The sequence below is a fragment of the Homo sapiens genome, chromosome 8 (genome assembly GCF_000001405.40).
Source record: "Homo sapiens chromosome 8, GRCh38.p14 Primary Assembly".
NCBI lineage: Eukaryota > Metazoa > Chordata > Mammalia > Primates > Hominidae > Homo > Homo sapiens.
In genome coordinates this window covers 17,359,276-17,382,175 of record NC_000008.11, presented here as the reverse complement: position 1 = coordinate 17,382,175, position 22,900 = coordinate 17,359,276, and the positions used below count along the sequence as shown (strand labels likewise).

General features: G+C 39.6%; 1 protein-coding gene and 1 long non-coding RNA gene across 4 annotated transcripts in view; one reads left to right on the top strand and one right to left on the bottom strand.

The window, feature by feature from the left end:
• The window catches only part of MTMR7 (myotubularin related protein 7), a 116,558-nt gene that overhangs the window by 31,176 nt on the left and 62,482 nt on the right, over window positions 1-22,900 (top strand). For all 3 annotated transcript variants that reach the window (NM_004686.5, XM_047422407.1, XM_047422408.1), the window contains 3 exons: window positions 8,936-9,058; window positions 10,977-11,139; window positions 20,902-21,059. In NM_004686.5, coding sequence (NP_004677.3) covers window positions 8,936-9,058; window positions 10,977-11,139; window positions 20,902-21,059 — 444 coding nt within the window. The remainder of the gene's footprint in view (window positions 1-8,935; window positions 9,059-10,976; window positions 11,140-20,901; window positions 21,060-22,900) is intronic.
• Window positions 17-22,900, bottom strand: part of LOC102724838 (uncharacterized) — a 37,115-nt gene continuing 14,231 nt past the window's right edge. The window contains exons 2-4 of the long non-coding RNA XR_428318.4: window positions 2,008-2,359; window positions 653-708; window positions 17-180 (exon numbers count right to left, since the gene is read on the bottom strand). This is a non-coding gene — a long non-coding RNA (uncharacterized LOC102724838). The remainder of the gene's footprint in view (window positions 181-652; window positions 709-2,007; window positions 2,360-22,900) is intronic.

Below are 22,900 nucleotides of genomic sequence, written 5' to 3'. Positions count from 1 at the left end.
TGTGGCTGATGCTTCCTTTCCTCAGTAAGTCACAAAAGTCGTGTTGGCCATCCAGGTTACCGAGTGACTTAATTTCCAGAAAATTTAATATTGAGTCATTATTGTATGCATTTTCACTGTTGCCATTTTGTATCCTCGTAGGTAGTCTATGAAGTACCACTGGGTCACAGCTGCAGTCTGCTAGAAAGGAGAGAGACATTAAAGACCCTTTAGATCCCTTATAGAAGTCAAAATGCAGGGATAATGTCTAAACTGCCTGCTCCCAGCAGTTCAATTTCAGAACCAGAACCAGAGCCCAGGCCTCTTGACTCACAAATACTTTTCTTTTCATGTTGGTAGAGTTAGAAAATGTCATGATACCAATTTTAGCACAACAAACTATTTATCTAGCTGCTTTTCTTAGATTAGAACATAAACTTGTCTTTGGTTTTGGCTGCTGCAGAGATTTTGATTTCTCTCTGTTAAACAGTCCCTGGATCTCTTCCCCCAGATGACTGACAGTGATCTGGAGCCTGATTTATATGGTTTTGAGGACTTGGTCTTTGGCCTGAGAAAAGCCGGTAGCCAGTGCCACTGCTTTCTGTCCTTTTCAATGACTGGCACCCCGGCCCTGCACTTTGGATTCCTCATCCTACGGAGCAACTTTACTTACCCAAATAGTCTGAGATGATTCTGGAACCCTGAATGTTCAGCACTTCAATATTTGACCTGCAGGATAGAAAGACCCACATTCTACTAAGATTGAAATTCGAAGGTGGCACAATAGAGGATCACTGAAGAAAGGCTCTGACTCTCGGTGATTTATGAGGTCTTCCTGACGCCCAGGCAGTGAAGGGAAGGCCAAGGAGGACCTATGTTGGGCCGCCAGTGTGGCCTCCTCAGACCTGGAAGTGCGGTGGTGGGGCCCAGGGTTTTGACTGAGCGTTTTCAGCCTTGGCCTAGAAAAGATGATGAAACCCTTTTTTCCCCTCAGTCTAACCCCAACAGAGGAAGAACAGGAATTCAAAAAAGCCATTAAACTGGGGCATAGTCTTTTCCATTGAATCTATAAGATTCTTGAAGATAGACAAAGATGCTACCTTGTTCACCCTTTTGCTTTTTTTTGCGGAACCTGACACAGTGCCACACATAGGCATCTTTTTGAATGGAATTAGATGTTTAGTGTTCTGTCTCTTTCATTAGTTCTGAGAATACCCGAAGTCTGCTAGTGTCAATCTTTGGGCTCTTGTATCCATTGCCAAGCTTTTTGTTTTTGGGTTTATCTAAAAGAATAATATTGTGATAGTGGTTTGTGAATATAGTTTTACAGTATAATTTTGTCTTAAAGCATTCTATTTTCAAGTACTAATTTCATGTATAAGATTTCTTACAATAATTATTAACTGTCTATGCTAAACATATTAATTTTGAATAACAATTCTACAATGACCTCAAAGGCATTTACAAGTGCTCACCACAGCCATGGTGAAGGATGAACGTGGCTTTGAAGTTAGACAGACCTTAGCTCTAGCACGGGTGTCCTGCCCTTTGAATTTGAGGATGTTTTTGCCTGTCTGTGGTGGTGGATATCATGAAAATTATGCATGGTCCTTTTTTTTTTTTTAAGCTCATCAGCTGTTGTTAGTGTATTTTACGTGTGTGGTATGGCCCAATACAGTTCGTCTTCTTCCAGTGTGGCTCAGGGAAGCCGAAAGGTTGGAGACCCATGCTGGCCGGGCCACGCCACCTGTTCCCTGCAGGATCTGGGAAAGTTTGTCAAGTCTCAAGTTCAACAGAACTATGAAATGGGGATTATGCAAGAACCTATAATTCAGGGGGTTACTGTGGGGATTAACTTGAGCTCAGGTATATAGAGTGATTGTGCAGTGCATGGATGTCGAATATCAAAAAATATTTGTTATTGTTTTTATTGTTATTTGGTGATTTTTCATAAACAAACTGACAACTGGGGTTGGCCTGATTCATGAGATATTGGTGGAGTTCTTTGAAATGCCCCAGTTCTCTTACCTTCAGAAGTCCAAAGCTTTCCACAGAATTTCTGCCAGTTCCCATGGAGGTTTGCATTTTCACAGTCCCTTCTGGCATAATCATTTGCTGCTGAATTAGTTCACGTTGCAGATCGACTCACCATCCGTTTATGTGTCATTGTCTTGTGGCACAGCTCTTCCTTAATTACCTAGCTCTTCCTTAATTACTCTCCCCTCCTCCAAACCCTCAGTGCGTTATGGTATATAGCCAACTGTTCTGAAGATTTTGGCAAAGGAAGGGTTGATACTGCAATGAAACGGTGCCTTCAGACAGTTTAGATTAGATTTGTTCACTCCATCCCTGGAGATTATTTCCTGTGGTGCTTCACTACCTAATTAAAAAAACAAAAACAAAAACAAACAATCAAAAAACCCCAAAAACACTTAACATGAGGTATAGGCATTTTTCCCAAAAGACTAACAGTGCTTGTGTTGGATTATGGTCCTAGGGGTGATTTTCTTCTCTTCCTGTTATATTTCCAAATCTTTAAACATTAAGTAAATAAGTACATGTTTCCTAGTTTTAAAAAGGCAAGTTCTAAAAGCTGGGGGCGAAAGTTTGTTAGGATTGGAGAAGCAATACAAGCAGGATAAACAAATCTTTGCTCAGCGATCCCCATCTCCTTCTAATCCTTTAAAATGTATTTCTCAATCCGGCCTAATGGAGTCATTTTATTTCCCGTGTGTATCACAAGTGCAGATGCCCCGGTTGGTAGCACTAACAGGCATCTTTCCTTCAAATGTCTTGACGTGCCAGTTGCTTCTGAAAAGCTAACGTGGCTCTTGCTGCTCCGGGGTGGAGTTCGCGTGGTCAGACTATCTGCTTCTGCCCGCTCAAACCCCACTTTGGCAAAGAGTGGTATCTACTTTCTCAGTGCCTGGGAGTTGACACCTCAAGCTGCTCTTTCATGGGTTATGATCCTCATGCTTCCAGGACCCCTCCTGCTAAGACCACCAGTGCCCCCATGTTCCTGAATGTAGTGGGCCACTTACAGTTCTTGCCTTACTCCATCTCAGCAGCATTTGACATAGACACTCCCTCTCTCTTAAAATATTATCTCTGCTATCCTCTTGATAGCAGAATCTCCTGATTGTCCTCCTGCCTGTCCATTTCTTTGTTTCTGTGCTTTTCTGATTCCTCTTCTTCATGTAGACCTTTAAACATTGGGCTTTCCTCAGATCTCTTCTCACTCTGCCTGCTCGCCCTGGGTAACCTTTTTTAGTCCCATGGCTTCAATTATTATCTTTTATGTGCTAAAGACTAAATTTATCACATTTCAACAAATCTAAGACATCAGTGATGCTAAGAGGCAGCAAGATTTTATGAACCACAAAAGAAGAAAGAAGCACTGCCAATGAAATGACACAATAGCTTTTTACACATCAGTCATCAGATGTGTCCCATTTTTAGAAATACCAGAATGTAAAAAATGTACATCCAAGAATTAATAATATAGTGTAATATCTTTTGCATAGATTTCCATAGCCTTTTTCAGAGTATGAATACCTCGTATGTCTTAAGCATAGTGCTCCTGGGAGCAGGCAAATGAGTTGCAACAATTTTGTTTTGAGAAGCTGGTTGTTTCCTTAGTCTTAGCTCTCCCTAAGTATAAAACTGGCCTTATTACTTTGTAGTATGTACAGCATATATGTATAGATGAGACAGAATTAAGTTAGCCCAACAGTAAGGCTGAATTACTGAGTCAGTGGGTCTTCAAGATGGTGCCCAAACTCTGAAATTTATTTCATTTTAGATCGTTTTCAACGTCTTAGTATAAACTGTGAGGTGGTCCCTGAACAGTGCTTTCTGACTTCATAACGTTTCTAAGACAACTGAATTTTAATTTTTATAATTCATTTTTAATTGTTAGTATCTCTGGGAAATCATACTGTTGGTGTTCCCCTCCTTATTTCTTTTTTCCCTCTCTGTATCTTCAAAATTACTTTTGACAGCTCTGGGACCTGTAGGAACTATTGCCAAATTTTGGAATGTGACTTTCCTGCAGCAGCATCCAAAGTTAACAAAAAGACATGGAAAAATCCCATCTCAATGGTAGTATTCTAATCTCTCAACATCTGCATACCTTATTCTGCTCCACTGAGCTTTTCTAAAAATAATTTAAGTGATACAGCTTCCTCTACTTCTGTAGGGAGAATAATCCATATCAAATATTTTTGCCTCAAAGTATTATCTTATGCTCAATATGATTATCTCAATAAAGTTTCTATCCCCTTATTTTTCTCCTCCCATACTTTCATAATATCTTTATCGTAGTTACTTTAAAATAGAATGTTTAATGACAAAAGTTTAAGTAAAATATCCCAACCATATGAGAATTTGGAAAATGCTTCCCTTAAAAACTTTCAGGTCAAAGAAGAAATAAAAAGTGCAATTATAGACCATCTAGAAAGAAGAATGAGGATACTATGAATAATATTCACAGGATAAAACCTGAGATATACTTGGAGGAAAATGATTGAATTTAAAAACTTTTGTTATTAAACAAAAAGAATGACAGTTAACAAACTGACTGTGAAATCTGAAAATTTAGAAACAGACAGACAAAAACCACATGGCATGCCCAAGCAAAGCAAGTTAAAACATTTATTAAGGAACCAGAAATTAACAAAGTAGAAAAGAAAAATAAAGTTGATATATCCAACACCTGTTACTTTAAAGAAAAACCTTTGCCTGTCTAATCACAAAGAGGTAAAAAGAAAACAATTCACAGTATTAGGAATGAGGGAAGGGATAAGAAGAGAGGGGTTTACCCACAGATAAGAATTAAAAGATTGTAAAAATTTGAAAATCTGCAGTAAGATAATTTGTAAAGGTATTATAATATTAAAATGGGATTTAGTAAAAATTGGAAACAGTGAACGGATCTGTAACCACATAAGAAGTTGAAACCATTACTAAAGATTTCTGTGTAAAGAAGTACTATACTTGTTTCAACTAATAAATACTTTGTATGTTGAAAGCTTCCTGATTAATTGATGTAATCATAACCATGGTTAATTCACTTGATAACAGCAGCATGAATAGGCTAGGGCATGGAGGTTCTCTCTTAAAAGTATAGATGCAAAAGAAAAAAAACAAATCAAAATAACAATTATGGCGGGAAAAATACAAGGAATTAAAATATCAATATATAATGACTGTGTATGAATTACGTAGTCGTGATTTCAAGTTGGCCATATAGCAGGAACACAAGACTCCTTTAAAGATTAGGAAATCTATTACTATTATTGATAATTTAGGGCTAGAGTTAAAAAAACAAATATTTATCCAAATACATATCAAAAAGGCATAACTTTCACTTCTGATTTTAAAAAATCAAAACTCTTAGTAAACTAGGATTAGGTCACTTTCACGATGCGATAATAAATATCAGCATGAAACTCAATGGTAAAAGATAATAAGTGTTCCATTAAAAATGGGTGCACATAAAGAGATGCTCAATATTGTTAGCTATCAGGGAAGTGCAAATCAAAACCACAATGAGATCGCATATTAGGATGACTATAATCAAAAAAAGAGATTATAATAAGTGTTATCAAGGATGTGGAGAAGTTGGAACCCTTGTATATTGGTGGTAGGAATATTAAATGGCACAGCTGCTTTGGAAAATAGTCCAGAAGCTCTTCAAAAGCCTTACTATATGACTTACCAAATGACCCAGCAATTCTGCTCCTAAGTATAGCCAAGATAAATGAAAGCATATGTCCATACAAAAACTTATGCTCAAAAGTACATAGCAGCATTATTCCTGGTAGTCAAAAGGTAGATGCAACTGAAATGTCTATCAACTGATGAATTGGTAAATGAAATATGATATGTCCCTATAATGGTATATCATGGGGCAACAAAAAGTAAAGCACTGGTACATTCTATGAATAGATGAACTTGGATTGAAACGTAGATTGAGAACATGATTGCTAAGTGAAAGAAACCACTATCAAAGTATGACATGTTGTATGATTCTGTTTATACAAAATGTTCAGAATAGGCAAATCTATAGAGACAGAGGGTAAATTGATTTTTTTAGGGCCGGAGTGGTTGGGGGAATAACTGGGATGTGACTGGTAGTGGGTGCAGGATTTCTTTTTGCGGTGATGAAAATGTTTTAAAATAGTGCGTTAATGTTTGCACAGTGGCAGTGTATACAGTGTTGTGAATGTGCTAAAAACCATTGAATAGTACATTTAAATGGGTGAACCGTATGGTATATGAGTTATATCTCAACAGAGCTGTCATTCAACAAAGGAAAAACAATGCAAGAGTGACTGTAGTCTCCATGCTATTTATAGTTACTCTGAAGTTTCTAATTAATGCTATTATACAAGGAAAAAAGATAAATATTGGAAAGGAAGCAACACATTATTACAGAAAATATTTGGCTACTCAGAACATTCAAGAGATTCATACTAGAATTAATTTTTAAAAGTTTGGTAAGGACGCAGTTATAAAAACTCATTGGGCCTTGGGCTACTAGCCTTACTGTATAAACAGGTCTTATAAATATGTAAGAAATGCTGATCACCCAGTAGCAAAGTAAACCAGTGATATGAAGACCATTCACAAAAAATACACCATGATGGATAACCATACAAAAGAATGTGCAGCATATCAGTAACAAAAGAATTCTTGTAAAAAAAAAAAAAAAACATAAGCTAGTAGGTGAAGGGCACTGTTGTCGAATGTATGCCTTTAACATACATAGACTTTCACAAGTCCTCAGGAATTTCACAATGCTCCAGAGTAAATTGTATAAGTACAGATATTTATAATACCTAATTCTTTATTGACCTCAGTAGATCTCTGAAAACTGGGAGGAAGTGAGATGGGACCCTCTAGAGCTACTCCTAGAGGGCTGGCTTGGCTCTAAGGGCTTAGAGGAGACTGAGGCAATGGGAGGTCTTGGGTCCTGTTTGCTCTTGGTGTTTTGAGGAATGTTCACGAGGTCTGCTACTCCCCTGGCTCTCCCTTGGAGTAGATGGGAAGTCTGAGACTCCCAAACTAGATCAGGACCACACCTCCTATTATTTATTCATTTTTGAGAAGGAGTTTTGCTCTTGTTGCCCAGACTGGGGTGCAGTGGTGCGATCTCGGCTCACTGCAACCTCTGCCTTCCAGTTGTAAGCAGTTATCCTGCCGCAGCCTTCCGAGTGGATGGGATTATAGGTGCCGGGCACCACGCCTGGCTAATTTTTGTATTTTTAGTAGAGACGGGGTTTCACCATGTTGGCCAGGCTGGTCTTGAACTCCCGACCTCATGATCAAAGTGCTGGGATTACAGGCGTGAGCCACCGTGCCTGGCCTATTTATTTTTTTTGAGATGGAGTCTCACTCTGTCACCCAGGCTGGAGTTCAGTGGCACGATCTTGGCTCACTGCAACCTCTGCCTCCAGGGTTCAAGTGATTTTCCTGCCTCAGCCTCCCGAGTAGCTGGGATTGCAGGCACCTGCTACCACCCCAGGCTAGTTTTTATGCTTTTATTTTATTTTATTTATTTATTTATTTATTTTGAGATGGAGTCTCACTCTGTCGCCAGGCTACGGTACGGTGGCGCAATCTCAGCGCACTGCAACCTCCGCCTCCTGGGTTCAAGCGATTCTCCTGCCTCATACTCCTGAGTAGCTGGGACTACAGGCACCCACCAACACACCCGGCTAATTTCTGTATTTTTAGTAGATACAGGGTTTCACCATGTTGGCCAGGATGGTCTCGATCTCTTTACCTCGTGATCCACCTGCCTCGGCCTCCCAAAGTGCTGGGATTACAGGCGTGAGCCACCGCTCCCGGCCAATTTTTGTATTTTTAGTAGAGACGTGGGATTTCACCACGTTGGCCAGGCTGGTCTTGAACTCCTCACCTCAGGTGATCCACTCGCCTCGGCTTCCCAAAGTGCTGGGATTACAGATGTGAGGCACTGCACCGGCCCACAGCTTCTATTTAAACTGAAGAATGGAGCGAATACAATGCGTTAGTTCCTAAGCTGCATGGAAGCAAATACCATTTTGGCTTGAGGGATGAGTCAGTGTTTCTCTGCAGGTGGTTGATCCTTGGCAGTGGTAGGATTGCTGTGCGCTGTGGTCATTACAGGAATGTTCCTCTGGTGGTTATGGTGGCTGTGTCTTACTAGAATTACCATTGCTTCAGTTTTCTCTCGCTCTGTAGAGATTGTCTTGTCATTTCCATTACATTTCATGTTAGGATGATCTCAGTGCACATGTCCTTAAAATTGGTCTGCATATGAGAGAGGTATGCTTTGTAAAAATTGTTTCCAGAAATCTCTTCTAGCAGTTTGGATTTTAGCTGAGTGGTGATAATGCCATTCATTAGGAAGATTTTGTTATAAATGAATGTAAGGATCTTGAGATGGTATGTTTTCCACATTTCTCTGATACTTTTTTCTCCCGTATGTATGTTTATACTTGCTACTAGTTTGTATGGAAGCAAAGAGCCTTAAGGCCATTTCTACAAGCTAGAAACACATAGGAAAATGTGCTTTTTTCTTTTTCATAGAATGTAATTGATACATAGTGTAAACTCAGAACATTAACACATACACTTTCTGCTTTAAATTAGAAATGTAATATAATTATAATGAAATGAAAGCGTTGACCATTGTAAAACCCAGAGAGGGTATTCTTAATAGGATCTACACATCTTTTGTGGTACCTTTAAACTCATATTTTCGTAACTGGTGAATGTTCATCTTTTAATATACACAATCCTACTCTGAGATCCGATTAACTTAAGGGGAAGTTTTTGGTTTTTATTATTGGGGGAATTCTCAAAAAATTGTATTTTGGAGTAAGTGTGAGTTTACCCTGTTATCATTTATTTCGTGAATTGCTCTTCTGCTTTACGGTAACTCTTTTCATCATGCCGATTTCTCTAGGTTGAAAATGTCCGCTTGGTAGATCGAGTGTCTCCTAAAAAAGCAGCTCTAGGTACTTTGTATTTGACGGCTACCCATGTCATATTCGTGGAAAATTCACCTGACCCAAGAAAAGAAACATGGGTATGCTTTCTTTATTTTTAGCTTTCCTTGTTTTGCGTTGTTTGAAGCAAAAAGTGTTTGCCCTCCATTCATTTTTCCTCAGGGTGAGATGGGTGGGCTTTTGTGCCTGGATGTTGGGGAACTGTTTCTGGAATGTGTGTTTGGACTTTTTCTGTGCAGTCGTATCTACTTGATCGACTATTCATTTTAAACATGAATTATTTGAACATCAGTGAAGAGAGACTTAGAACTAGCCAGAAGATACAAGTGCTTCCTGTCACAGCTGTCAAGGAGAGATTCAATAATGTCAGTAGGCCAGATTCAGCATTGTCATCCTCCAGTGCTCCATTTGCAATAGTCTCTATTTGCAGGGTCCTGTAATGCAGCCATTTGGTCATTTTATTACATTGCCTCTACTTTTCTGATAATTTTAAAAAGAAAGAAAATCTAGAGGAGCTTCATCATCAGGTATTTCTCCTACTTATTAATGAAACCATTAGATATTTGAACATCACTAAATAATAATAATTATTATTATTAATATTATTTTTGAGATGGAGTCTTACTCTGTTGCCCAGGCTGGAGTGCAGTGATGCGATCTCAGCTCACTGCAGCCTCTGCCTCCTGGGTTCAAGTGATTCTCCTGCCTCAGCCTCCTGAGTAGCTGGGACTACAGTCACGCGCCACCACGCCTGGCTGACTTTTTTGTGTTTTTAGTAGAGGCAGGGTTTCACTATGTTGTCCAGGCTGGCCTCAAACTCCTGACCTGACCTCAAGTGATCTGCCCACCTTGGCCTTCCAAAGTACTGGGATTACAGGCATGAGCCACCGTGTGTGGCCTTATTATTCTTTCAGCAACCCAATCATGACATCCCTGAATTGTAGATTTCCCTTTGCTGTATTTCGTGCACAGTGGTACATTTTTAGCAGAAGGTGGCAGGCACTTCTTAGTGGAGGGGAAACTTAAAGATTAAAATGCTGCTATTGAAGACTGAGCATAGACCCTCCTGTAACACCAGAGATGCACTTCAGTATGATTTCCTTTAAAGTTAATCTCCTCTTTAGAGAGTAGAATGATGGTTTTACCAGAGGCTGGGAGTGCAGAGGAGGGGGAGGGAATGAGGAGATATTGATTGAAGGGCACAAAGTTTCCAAAAGACAGGAGGAAAAGTCTGGAAATCTATTGCACAGCAAGGTGACCATACTCAATAGTAATGTATATTTCAAAATAATTATGAGAGTAAATTTCAAGGGTCTCACTGTAAAAAAAAAAAAAAAAAAAAAAAACTATAGGTAAGTGATGGCCATGCTCATTAGCTTGATTTAATCATTCCGTATGATGTACATATATCACAGCATCACACTGTAGCCCATAAATGTGTACAACTATGATTTGCAATAAAAATATTAATTTAAAAAATAAAAAGATAAAATAAATCCCTTCTTTTGCAGCCTGCCCGACCACCAACAGCTTAGAAAACAACAATCCCATGTTGATACAGAACTCGAACATTCCATGTGGAATTAAGGAGCATGGTGGCACCTCCCAGCGGAGCCATCTCTAACTTGTGTTGACTGCAGAAGTTTATTTTACTAACTTCTCATGACCTTATTTAATTTTAGCTATTAAGCGCATTCAATATTTGACTACCAAAATGTTTCCATACCTGGACTTGTGCAAATTTATATGCTGAATGGTTTACTTCAAAATAACTGTCCTGGATATCAGGAAGCTTGGTATTGAAAAATAAAATTATAAATTTAGGAAGTTGGTTCTTACCTGGAACATCTCAGTGCTTGTCATCTGAACGCAAGGGTTGAGCTAGCTGGAGGTTGGGGAGCGTTTCTTGTCTTTCTTTGAGCCACAAAGAAATGTTAGTCCTTGTCGTATTCATTAGTTATTTGTGCTTAGCTTATGCACATTAACATTTGGTTCTAGATTCTTCACAGTCAGATTTCCACCATTGAGAAACAGGCAACAACCGCTACCGGATGCCCTCTGCTGATTCGCTGCAAGAACTTTCAGATAATACAGCTCATCATACCTCAGGAAAGAGATTGCCACGACGTGTACATCTCCCTGATACGCCTTGCAAGGCCAGGTAGGGCAGAGGAACTCGGCATTTAATATGGAACCTCTCTTAAAAATTTGCAAATCAGATTCAAGAATTTGTATGGTGCTTAGGAATGATAGGGGTTCAGGGATTATGTGTCAGTCTCGTTCTCAGGAGAGGATAAGCCCGAATGATCATCTGATACAGAGTTTCTTGTTTTTTTAGAGTCTCCCCCGAGTTATTTATTATGTGAGTCTCTTTCATGAATCTTAGTATTAACTTAATCTTGGTGGGGTTATAGGATGCTTTCCTTTTGGGGTGAAATTGCCTTTAAGTTATGCACTTCTTATATTGTGGTAATCGAGCCACCTTGAATGGGGCCAGTGACAGAACTAATCAGTTGTTTTGTGTGGAAAATGTTATCAGACAGTTCTAGCGCAGTTTTCTCCCTCTTGATGCTTTTAAGGTTTGGTCTCCATTGCTTTTTTGTTTCTTGGGGTTTTGGTTTTTTTTTTTTTTTTTTTTTTTTTTGAGGCACTTTTTCTCCGTCGCCCAGGCTGGAAGTGCAGTGGTGCAATCTCAGCTCACTGCAACCTCTGCCTCCTGGTGCAATCTCAGCTCACTGCAACCTCTGCCTCCTGGGTTCAAGCGATTCTCATGCCTTAGCCTCCCAAGTAGCTGGACTACAGGTGCCCACCACCACACCCTGCTAATTTTTGTATTTTTAGTAGAGGTGGGGTTTTGCCATGTTGGCCAGGCTGGTCTTGAACTCGTGGCCTCAAGTAATCTACCTGCCTCGGCCTCAAGTGCTCGGATTACAGGAGTGAACTACCATGCCTGCACCTCCATTGCTTTTTGATAATAATTTATTTTTTCCAAGGTTGATACAACTAGACTAGCATCAGTGACTATTCAGGGTATGGATCTGCTGATTCTCCTGGAAAAAAAAAAAAAAACTTAATGTGGTAGGAAGAACATTTGGATTTGAAAAATATGTTCTTGCCATTGCTATCTTGTTCCAGCCGTCATCTTGGGCTCTTCGGATTTATAGCTTACTGTTCGCTTCTACAGAAGTGTTTCTTGCCTCTCTGTGTGGCTTGTGTGAGTTGTGGTGTTGTTTTCCTTAAAAGAAATATACTCGGCCTGACGCGGTGGCTCACATCTGTAATCCCAGCACTTTGGGAGGCCGAGGCAGGCGGATTGCAAAGTCAGGAGACTGAGACCATCCTGGCTAAGACGGCGAAACCCCGTCTCTACTAAAAATACAAAAAATTAGCTGGGCGTGGCAGTGTGCGCCTGTAGTCCCAGCTACTTGGGAGGCTGAGGCAGGAGGATGGCGTGAACCTGGGAGGTGAAGGTTGCAGAGAGCTGAGATCTTGCCACTGCACTCCAGCCTGGGTGACAGAACGAGACTCTGTTTCAAAAAAAAAAAAAAAAAAAAAAGAAAAAAAGAAATATACTCTACTATACTCTAAGTTTCTTGGAAGAATACAGTGAAAAGAGATCATTTATATAGAAGTTGTGCTACACAGAAGTAGTTAATAAAGGAAATAAGATATGTGCTGATAATTACTTTGCCAAATGCTTTTTGATTCAGGACAAGAAGTTCAATTATGAACTTTTCAAGGCATTTGGTTGGATCCTAAGTTTCTTATGATTTGTCCATATTCTTTGTAGGTAGCTAAGAGCTAAAGTTACTAAATGGAAATGACGCCAGGGAGCTGTCAAAATCTGGTAGTTTTTACTTTGCACTGTTACTCTTTAAAGGCAGTTGGTTGAGGCTTTTTCATCCAAGTGTGTTAAAAGAAAGGCAGAGTAAGGCAGAAAAGCAGTTGAACTTTTTGGAGGGTGCACTAAAATTGGAACAGAAGTTCTGGGAAGATGTACATTAGGTTGCACGCAGCAGATAATGTGAGGAGAATTCTGTGCTAACAGTTTCTGTGTCACTGATTAATGGAAGTACTAGGCGATAAATGTGCTCTGAGCGGATTAATGGGATTTAGGAATAGCCCAGCGAACTGGGAAAGGGCTGAGCAGCTGGTGATGAGTGAATCACAGGGACCAGGAGGGTCATGGCCCAGAGATAGCGAGTGCCAGGACTCTCGCCGTGAGGATCCCTGAGGGGGAAATTACTGTGTTCCCTCATTTTCGAAAAGAGATACTTTTTCCTTAAAAGATGAAGGGAGTTAGGTATTAGATGTAGACAGAGATCTGACTGGCTACCTTTTCTAAAAGAAATCATAGTCATTCACTGAATCAAAGCCATCACCTAAGAGGAGTTAAAAAGAATCACCAGCATTTTGAAACATGGGCATTAGAAATGCCAGTTTGCCTAAAATGTAGTGCTTTAATAAGTGTGGAAGGTGAAACAGATCACAAGCAGTTCACAGTGTAATGTTAAAGGCATTGCTAACATTAGGGCATATTATAGGCTGTAACTTTGGAAGCAGGACTTTGACTCTGGAGGGAGATGGGGAAATGTGGAAGGGGTTAGACATGAAACAGTTGCCTTCAACTGGGGGATGGGGTGGTCTTTCAGAACCATCTGAAGATATTTTATAAAAGACACCGTCCACTGCCTTTAAGGGCATGAGAATAAGGGTGTGTGTGTAGTTGGTGAGGGAGGTGTACTTTGAATTCTAGTAGTAAAATGTAGCTCTCTCGATATTCTGGTTAGTCACCAACAAAGTTCACATATTTTCAGTTTATTTATGGACACCCAGCTAACTGTAAGGTTCTGTAGAGCAGGGGTCCCCAACCCCTGGGCCGCAGACAGGTACCAGTCTATGGCGGGTTAGGAAGCGGGCGGCACAGCACAGCAGGAGGTGAGTGGCGGGCGTGCAAGCGTGAGCTCTACCTCCTGTGAGATCACTCGTGGCATTAATTCTCTTAGGAGCATGAACTCTATTGTGAACCGTACATGCGAGGGATCTAGGTTGTGTGCTCCTGATGATCTGAGGTGGAAGAGTTTCATCCTGAAACTATCCCCCAACCCCACACCCCCATCCACAGAAAAATTGTCTTCCACAAAGCTGGTCCCTGGTACCGAAAAGGTTGTGGACCGCTGCTACAGAGGACAAAACAGTTGTTTTTTACATAAGAAGAAATGTTTGGGAATTCATTTAAGTCAAGGTCTCTGAAGGAGATATTTTCAAAGCTGTCGTAATTTAATATTAAAATCAAAAGTACTTTAAAAATAGAAAAAAAAAAAAAAAACCCCAAACCTTAGCATCAGCAGAATGCGAAGGGTGGGGAAGGGAAGAGAAAAGTTTCCAGCTGTTAGCAGAGGGACACAGAGGTGTGAGGTGTTTTAGAACCGGTGTAACTATTGAAAGGGAAATTGCTTCAGACATTCTGCTGAATTCAGGCAACTTAAAATAAATGTCGAGATTATCTCTTTACTGAGTTAGGATTTCTGGTATAAGGTAAATCAAATTATTAAAAAATTAGAGACTTTATTGGTTTGCTTTTTGTGTGAATAAAGATTGATAACAATTTGGTCACAGACTGTAGAAGATCTCAGGCAAAACATAACATGCCCAAATGCAGGAAGCTGTTTCATTCTTGGTAAAGAACTAAGTTAGGTTAAAATAAGGGTTGTGGGTCAAATGAGATCAGTTAACCTTGTAGATCTAATGTATTAATAAGGATTGAACTTTTCTGATGAAAAGACCCGTTTCTCAGAGGCCTTCAGCTTTTCCCATGTCCTCTCTCCTCTCTTCCCTCCAATTTGCCTCCTGCTGTTTATTTTTGTATCAATTATCTTCCCCTCCTTAGTGTTTGTGGGTACTTCAACACTTAAATAATTTCTTTTGTTTGTTTTCCCCCTTTTCCTAAACTAGTTTCTTTTTAGTATTTTAGTCCCCAGTTCTTTTGGATATTTTTTATTTTAGAAAAAATCTCATGATTGAAGTAGTCTCATTTGCTTTATTGGTAACTTTTTATATTCCTTATATAAGTCATTGATGTTTAAGCAATCTTTGCAGTGGTAATTTCTTTTTTATCAGAGCGTAGCAGCCCTTTTCCACTGTGTTAGCTTTAACAGTCCTAATATTTAATTTCAACACTTGTTTGCTTAAAACAAGACAGATAAGGTGAGGCACCCTCATTTTTATTTTAAATATGCAAAATCCAGTAATAGCTGTATTATCTTCTCACCCCACTCTAAATGGTTTTTCAGCTACAGTTTTTTTTTTTTTGAGATGGAGTCTCGCTCTGTCATCCAGGCTGGAGTGCAGTGGCTCGATCTCGGCTCACTGCAAGCTCCACCTCTCAGGTTCATGCCATTCTTCTGCCTCAACCTCCCGAGTAGCTGGGACTACAGGCACCCGCCACCACGCCCGGTTAATTTTTTGTATTTTTAGTAGAGACAGGGTTTCACCGTGTTCACTAGGATGGTCTCGACCTCCTGACCTCATGATCCGCCCGCCTCGGCCTCCCAAAGTGCTGGGATTACAGGCGTGAGCCACCGCGCCCGGCCTCAACTACAGTTATTTTAAGTTGCCTGAATTCAGCATAATGTTTGATGCAATTTAGCTTTCAGTAGTTACTTTGGTTATTAAAAAAAATGCTCACATCTCTGTGTCCTGATGACTGTTGGTAAGTTTTCCCTTCCCTTTCCCACCCTTCCCATTCTGCTGATGCTGATTCATGTTTGTTTTTTCTTTTCATTTTTAAAATACTTTTGATTTTAATATTACATTATTTATTGCTTCTCCCAGTTAGTCTGTAATGAGAGGCAATTACTCCATATATTTATCCTAAATATTCTGTTTTTATAACCTTTAACTTGATACCTAGGGAACAAGCTAGGTTATTTTCCTTCCTTCCCTAATGTTTTGTTGTACCCTCATCTCTCCCTTATTTGGCAGAAGGAGCACCCTTTCCTTTATATGGGAGAGAAGGAGCAAAGGTTGTATACGGATGCAGCCCCATTTATTCACCTGGTGGTTCCAAGTTGAGAGTTTGTACCTGATGTCTTGCATTTTCTATGGGAAGTAGGAAGTGGGGTTATCTGAGAGTGAAGGAGCCGAGGAGAGCAATAGAGACTGAGCTGCACTGTAGTGCCCTAGGCTTCCCTAGGTTAAGGGGAGCACAATGAACACCGGTGCTAGAATAAGATCAGCCAAAACATGGATCTCTGTGTTTGGGTTGAGCTCATGCTTTCAACTGAAACACTGATTTGGTCTTCCTAGAAACAGCCAAACTGTTACTCATCCTTAATTTCGTGTAGTATTTTAGAAATTATCATTTTGCTTTCTGGGTAGAAAAACATTAAAGCTGGACTCCTGTTTCATTAGTTATATGATTTAATTAGATAATATATGATACTGTAAATACCAAGATTTCCACTTAACTTTTTCTGAATGTTTTTTAAAAATTAAAGGTGCACATTCAGTTTACTCCCACAGTCCAAAGGCATTTTGAGTATTTGCTTCTTATTGGAGGAGCTCTTGTGTAATGGGGCCCCTTAGGGTGAGGCCTTCGTTGCACTTCCTGCTGAAAGCTGCTGGTCACTAACAGCAAAAGATGTTTTAGTTGGATATGCTGGCTTAGACTGTGATGGGAAAAGCCAGAGGAGCTTTTAACATGCCTGTTTTAAGAGTGGGTAGAAAATCAGGTGAGGGATATGACCTTCCTAGAGTGGGCAAATATTTTCTCTCTGTTCAGATTCTGTAAATATTAAAGATTTGTCTAAAATATAAGAAGCTTCTGCATAACAAAGGAAATTGAAGAAAAGACTTGGAAGCCATATACCTGATAAAGGATTAATACCCAAAATATGTCAGGAACTCAAACAACTCTATAGGAAAAAAAACAAGTACTCTGATTAAGAAAAGGACAAGGGACCTCAAGAGACATTACTCAAAAGAAGACATAGATGGCTAACAGATACATGAACAAACGCTCAACCTCAATAATCATTAGGGAGATGCAAATTAAAACCACAGTGAGGTATCGCCTCACAACTGTTAGAATGACCTTTACCAAAAAGATGGAAGACAACAAAGCTTTGGCAAGGGTGGGGAGGAAAGAGAATGCTTATGCACTGTTGGTGGGAATGTAAATTAGTACAAGCCATTATGGAAAACAGATGGAGGTTCCACAACAAACAAAAAATAGAATTATCGTATGATTCCACAATCCCACTTTTGAGTGCTTACTGGAAAGATTGAAATCGGTAAGTTAAAGAAACGTCTGCTCTCACATTTTCGTTGCAGCACTATTCACAGTAGCCACGTTGTGGAATCAACTTAAGTATCCATCATTGGATGAAGAGATAAAGAAAACATGGTATATACAAATAATGGAATGCTATTCAGCCTTAAAAAGGAAGACATTGTGTTATTTGTGACAACATGGATGGAATTAGAGAGCATTATGCTGAGTGAAAAAAGCCAAACATAACAAATACCATATGTTCTCACTTACATGTGGGATCTATGACAGTTAAACTCATAGAAGCAGAGAGTAGAATGGTGGTTACCAGAGGCTGGGGGTGGGGGACGTGGGGAGATGATGGTCAAAGGCTGCAAAGCCTCAGGCAGGAGGAATAAGTCTCATTATTTTGAAATCTGTTGCACAGTGTGTTGAGTATAGGTAATAGTTCAGTAGTGTACATTTCGAAACGCTAAGAGTAAATTTCAGATGTTCTCGTTACAAAAAATGTTAAATACTTGAGGCAATGTATATGTTAATTAGCTTGAATTAATCATTCCACATTGTAGTCAAAAATCATAACATCACTTTTTGACCGGGCGCGGTGGCTCACGCCTGTGATCCCAGCACTTTGGGAAGCCGAGGCGGGCAGATCACAAGGTCAGGAGATCGAGACCATCTTGGCTAACACAGTGAAAACCCGTCTCTACTAAAAAAAAATGCAAAAAATTAGCCGGGCGTGGTGGCGGGCTCCTGTAGTCCCAGCTACTCCGGAGGCTGAGGCAGGAGAATGGCGTGAACCCGGGAGGCGGAGCTTGCAGTGAGCCGAGATCGCGCCACTGCACTCCAGCCTGGGCGACAGAGCGAGACTCCGTCTGAAAAAAAAAAAAAAAAAAAAAAAAAATAATAGCAACACTTTTTACCCCAGAAATATATGAAACTGTAATTCATCAATATATTATTAAAAAGTCTGTAAGCAAAAAAAAAAAAGGATTGTCAAGCCCTAGGTTTTTTTTTTTTAAGCTTGCCTCCCAGCTAATTGCTAAACATTCTGCTAAATATTTGGTAAAAGTAGAGAACGAAAAGAACAGAAAATTATGACATGGGAACAATTCAGTAAAACTTTCATCTGTGCTAGTGGCGCTTTTCGATTTCTTAGAGTAGGCAGAGTCTGCAGGCTGTATCTGGGCTTGCCTGTGGGTAAGAAGCTTGCCCATATTGACATGACTGTTGGCTGACAAAAATGGGCTTTTCCTGGCCCTCGTGTACAATTTTCCTTAAATTGGGCATAAGGATTGGTTGATCACCCTTTTCCTTAAAAAAGGGAAAATTTCATAATTTCAGTGTCAACCCATCCTAAGGTCTCCTAGTTCAACAGTGATCTGCTTAATGTCTGTTATAAATTATTCTTGCTGTAATTTATGGATAATTTCGTTGCCTCTTCCCAGTGGAAACAGGTATCAGCCCACACGCAGAAAACTGTCAGTAGTCATAGGATGTTTTTCTTCTTCTACCTTTAAAGCTATTTGTAAATATTTAACAAAGAGAACTTAACTGCCATTATTACCCCATATTCAGTAGCTCTTCTTTCACTCAGGGAACTGAGGCTTTCTCAAGAGATTCCTTTGGCATCCTAAACAACTTGCATTTGTGGTTAACATTATGGTAGCAGAAGCCTGAGTCATGAAAATGGTACTTAGAGATGGAAAAGATGTGTCAATGTTGAGCCAACTGTTCCCAGAACAGGATCTGAGGTTTCACATGCTGTCAGCAACATTAGCTAAGATGATAAGAAATTGATTTTACGGAACGCGTCTGCTCTGGTTTGTGTGTGAGCACGCCTGGATGTGCGTATTTTGTTATTTGTCCAAATAGTCCGTACTCTAAGTTTTGAAGTTTAGAAACATGACATGGAGAAAGACTGAAATAGAATATAATTTATCTCACTGACATACAGCAGTTGCTTCTTACTCTCAAGAAAAATGAAGAAATCTGGTGCTTAAAATATGACCCTTATCTTTCCTCTTCCATGCAGATGAGTCATCTCAAGTTTGAAACCTGAGTTTTCATGTCAGGCTGCCTGTGTGTTGCTGCAGCCTCTTGCTGGTGGCAAGATTCTATAAAGGGCTACACATACATGTATTTAGGAAACTTAAATTGTTCACACTGAATACTATCACTATGCTAAGGACATAGGAGGACCTAGGAAAGCTATGAGAAAGAAGTATATTGGAGAAAAACAGGAAGATTAGGGGCCTGGAACGAGGAAGGAAGAAGAAGAGAGAAGGATCTGCGTTTGGGGAGGGTGTGTTACAATTAGGAGCAGGCCTTCTGCAGCCAGATGTCTCATTTAAACCTGGACTCTCCGGTAACTGGCTGTGTGACTCTGAGGGAGGGAGTGTGCCTCCCGTTTGCGTCAGATTTCTCGTCGGTAAAATGAGGACCATCAATGTTGCCTACTAACTGGATTAATGCACTTAATTGCGACAGAATCTGGAACAAAACAAGGTCTGAGTATCAGTTATCCTTTATTATCATCAGAAATGCTTAGATCTGCACTGTCCAAGGTGGTAGCCACTGGCCACAGATAGCTGTTCAGCGCTACTGCAAACTGAGGTATGCGGTTAAGTGCCAAATACATGTGAAATTTCAAAGACAGCACAAAACAAAATGTATCAAATATTAGTAAGTTTTATATCATGCACATGTTGAAGTGATAATGATTTTGGATATATTGGGCTAAATAAAATAGATTGTTAAATTAATTTAACTTTTTTTTAATGTGGCTACAAGGACATTTAAAATGACATACATAGCTCACATTATATTTCTGTTGGATAGCGCTGGTCTCTACACTTCCCTTAAATGGCAAGAGCAGAGCAAGAAAATCAAATCCTAGATTTTAGTGGAGAGAGGGAAACAGTGGGGCTATTGGGCTTCACAAGCATCAAAGGCAGTATATAAAGACAGAGATAACACGACAGGATTGAAAGAAACCACATCATGATGCAGCCTTCAATTCGCATCCCACGAGCACAGCGCTGTGCAGTATGAATTGATTTTTTTTATGAATCTTATGCAAATGAGCAGCACAATTACGATATTTATGTAGTTGTTTAAAGTTCAGATGTTTCCAATGCAAACGTTTAGTATATTCCAGAGTTTTTTCAACTTTATTATTTTTTTCTTTTTTAACCCTGTGAGCATCAAAATGTGCAATTGGCCTGGGCCTTGTGTCTGCCTCTGAGAGGCCATCCCAAATCCAAGCTTGATAGGCATTAAAAAAATGGAATCTTCATGCCTAATGAATGCATATGTTCTTAATTTTTATGTTCCATATTTGATGTGGTCTGGAAAATATATTTGCTTTTAAAGCAACAACAAAAAAAGCACAAAATGGAGATGTCCCTGTGTTCTAAAAGGAAAGAAGGTACTGCCAAGTTGAGTTCAGGTACCCCAAGGTCATCTTGTCATTGGTGGGAGGAAGTGGGGGACCCTATCCACTGCACACAGGTTACTCCCAAGAGTGTGCTGGGGGTGGGGGTTGGGATGGCCTCTCTGGGCACTCCAGGTGGGACAGAATGTTTTCGGGGAGATTTGGCTCTGGTTTTGACTAAGCTTGATTTAACTTTATCCTACCTTTTCTTGCAGTGAAATATGAGGAGTTATACTGCTTTTCATTCAACCCCATGCTGGATAAAGAAGAAAGAGAGCAAGGCTGGGTGCTGATCGATCTTAGTGAAGAATACACGCGGATGGGCCTCCCTAATCATTACTGGCAGCTCAGCGATGTGAATAGAGACTACAGAGTGAGTGCGTGAAACCCAAACACTGAAGCCGCATGAAATTAGGGTTTCAGCCAGCTTAGCATCCCTTTATTTTTATCTCCTTCAGGTTTTATAGCTCTTTGTAGATATCCATATGTGGATTTCCAGGTCTCTCTTGGTTAGTGCCAGCTGTATTTACAACCTGGACCTAGAATCAAAACGTTTGAACCTGCTATACAGATCACCCCTTCCAGACCCTTCATCTCACGGTTGCAGAACTTGAAACCCAGAGAGGCCGGGTGGCAGGCCTTGTGGACAGGCAGTTGGTGGGAGAGCTGGCCTGGATCTCATTCTCCCATCAGGTCTTTTTATAGTGTAGTGAGTGATTAGTGGGCAAGTCAGGGAGACTCTGAAGGCAGTTTGGCACCGGCTCCTCTATGTACTCACTGAGTCCTTGCTTGGTACACAAGGTCACCAAGAGGCTTCCCTAGAGAAACATGTCTACACTCACAGGAAGGAATATGGAGAGGCAGGGAAGCTAGAGTGGCAGAATTAATCCCATCTTCTCCTTAATGACAGGCTTACAGATCAGGGGTGGTTTCACTATAATTTTAAAAATATTTGAGTAACAAAAGTAATGTGAGAACATCCTAGATAGTTTACAAAAGGAAAAAAAAAAACCCCAAACCCACCATCCCATTTTTAAAACATTCTTCTGTTTTAAAATTTTCCTTCAGTTGTTTTCTCATCTGTATAGTTTGATAACTTTTTTCATATGTAAGTAATGCATATTCATTATTGAAAATTGGAAAACATAGAGCAAAAGGGTATTAAATCACCTAAAACTGCCATCATTCAGAGATAGCCACTGTTATTATATCTGGCCAATAGTCTTCTGGGATTTTAATGTGTATATTAATTTTTTATGTTTGCACACACAAACCTATTTAAACATATATAACAAAAATGGAATCATTACATGTGCCTTATATTCTGCTTTTCTTCACATACATATTGTGACATTTTTCTGTCAATAATTATATTTGTAAAACACTGCATAGTATTACCTAAGTATGGCTGTATCAAATAATATCTACCTGCTCTCTAATTTTTAGACATTTAGATCGTCATTACTCATCACTATTTTAAATAATGGAGAACATCCTGGTAACTATACCTTTGCCCATATTTTAATTTTTTTAAAAGATAGCATTTTAATATAATTTTTATGTCAAAACACCTACACAAAGTTTTGTACATGTTGTCAAAAATAATTGTGGAAAGGTTGTACCAATGTCTATGAATTCTCAATTGTGAATGCTTGATTCCTTATACCCTCACCAGTAAAGAGTTAGTTTTTAAAAATCTTTTGATACCTTGATGGTATAATGAGTGATTTCTTATTTTAATTTAATCTTCATATCTTGATTTCTTGAGTTGTAGCTTTTTCTATATTGATTGACCATTTGTATTTTATCTCCTGATAAATGACCATTTCCAGTTGCATATTTTGAATTCTGGGTATTTTCTTGACCTTGTCACAGGGATTTTCTTTCAGGTTTTTTTTTTTTTTTAAGGAAACAGGGTTTCACTCTGTTACCCAGGCTAGAGTACAGTGCAGTATAGCTCACTGCAGTCTCAAACTCCAGATCCAAAGCAATCCACCTGAGTAGCTAAGATTACAGGCACATGCTACCATAATTGCTTAATTTTTCAAAGTTTTTGTAGGAATAAGTTCTCCCCATGTTGCTCAGGCTGGTCTCGAATTCCTGGGCTCAAGCAGTCCTCCTCCCTTGGCCTCCCAAATTGCTATAATTATGTGTGAGTCATCTCGCCCAGTTTCACGAGGATTTGCTACATTGCTATATGGTACTTAAACAATC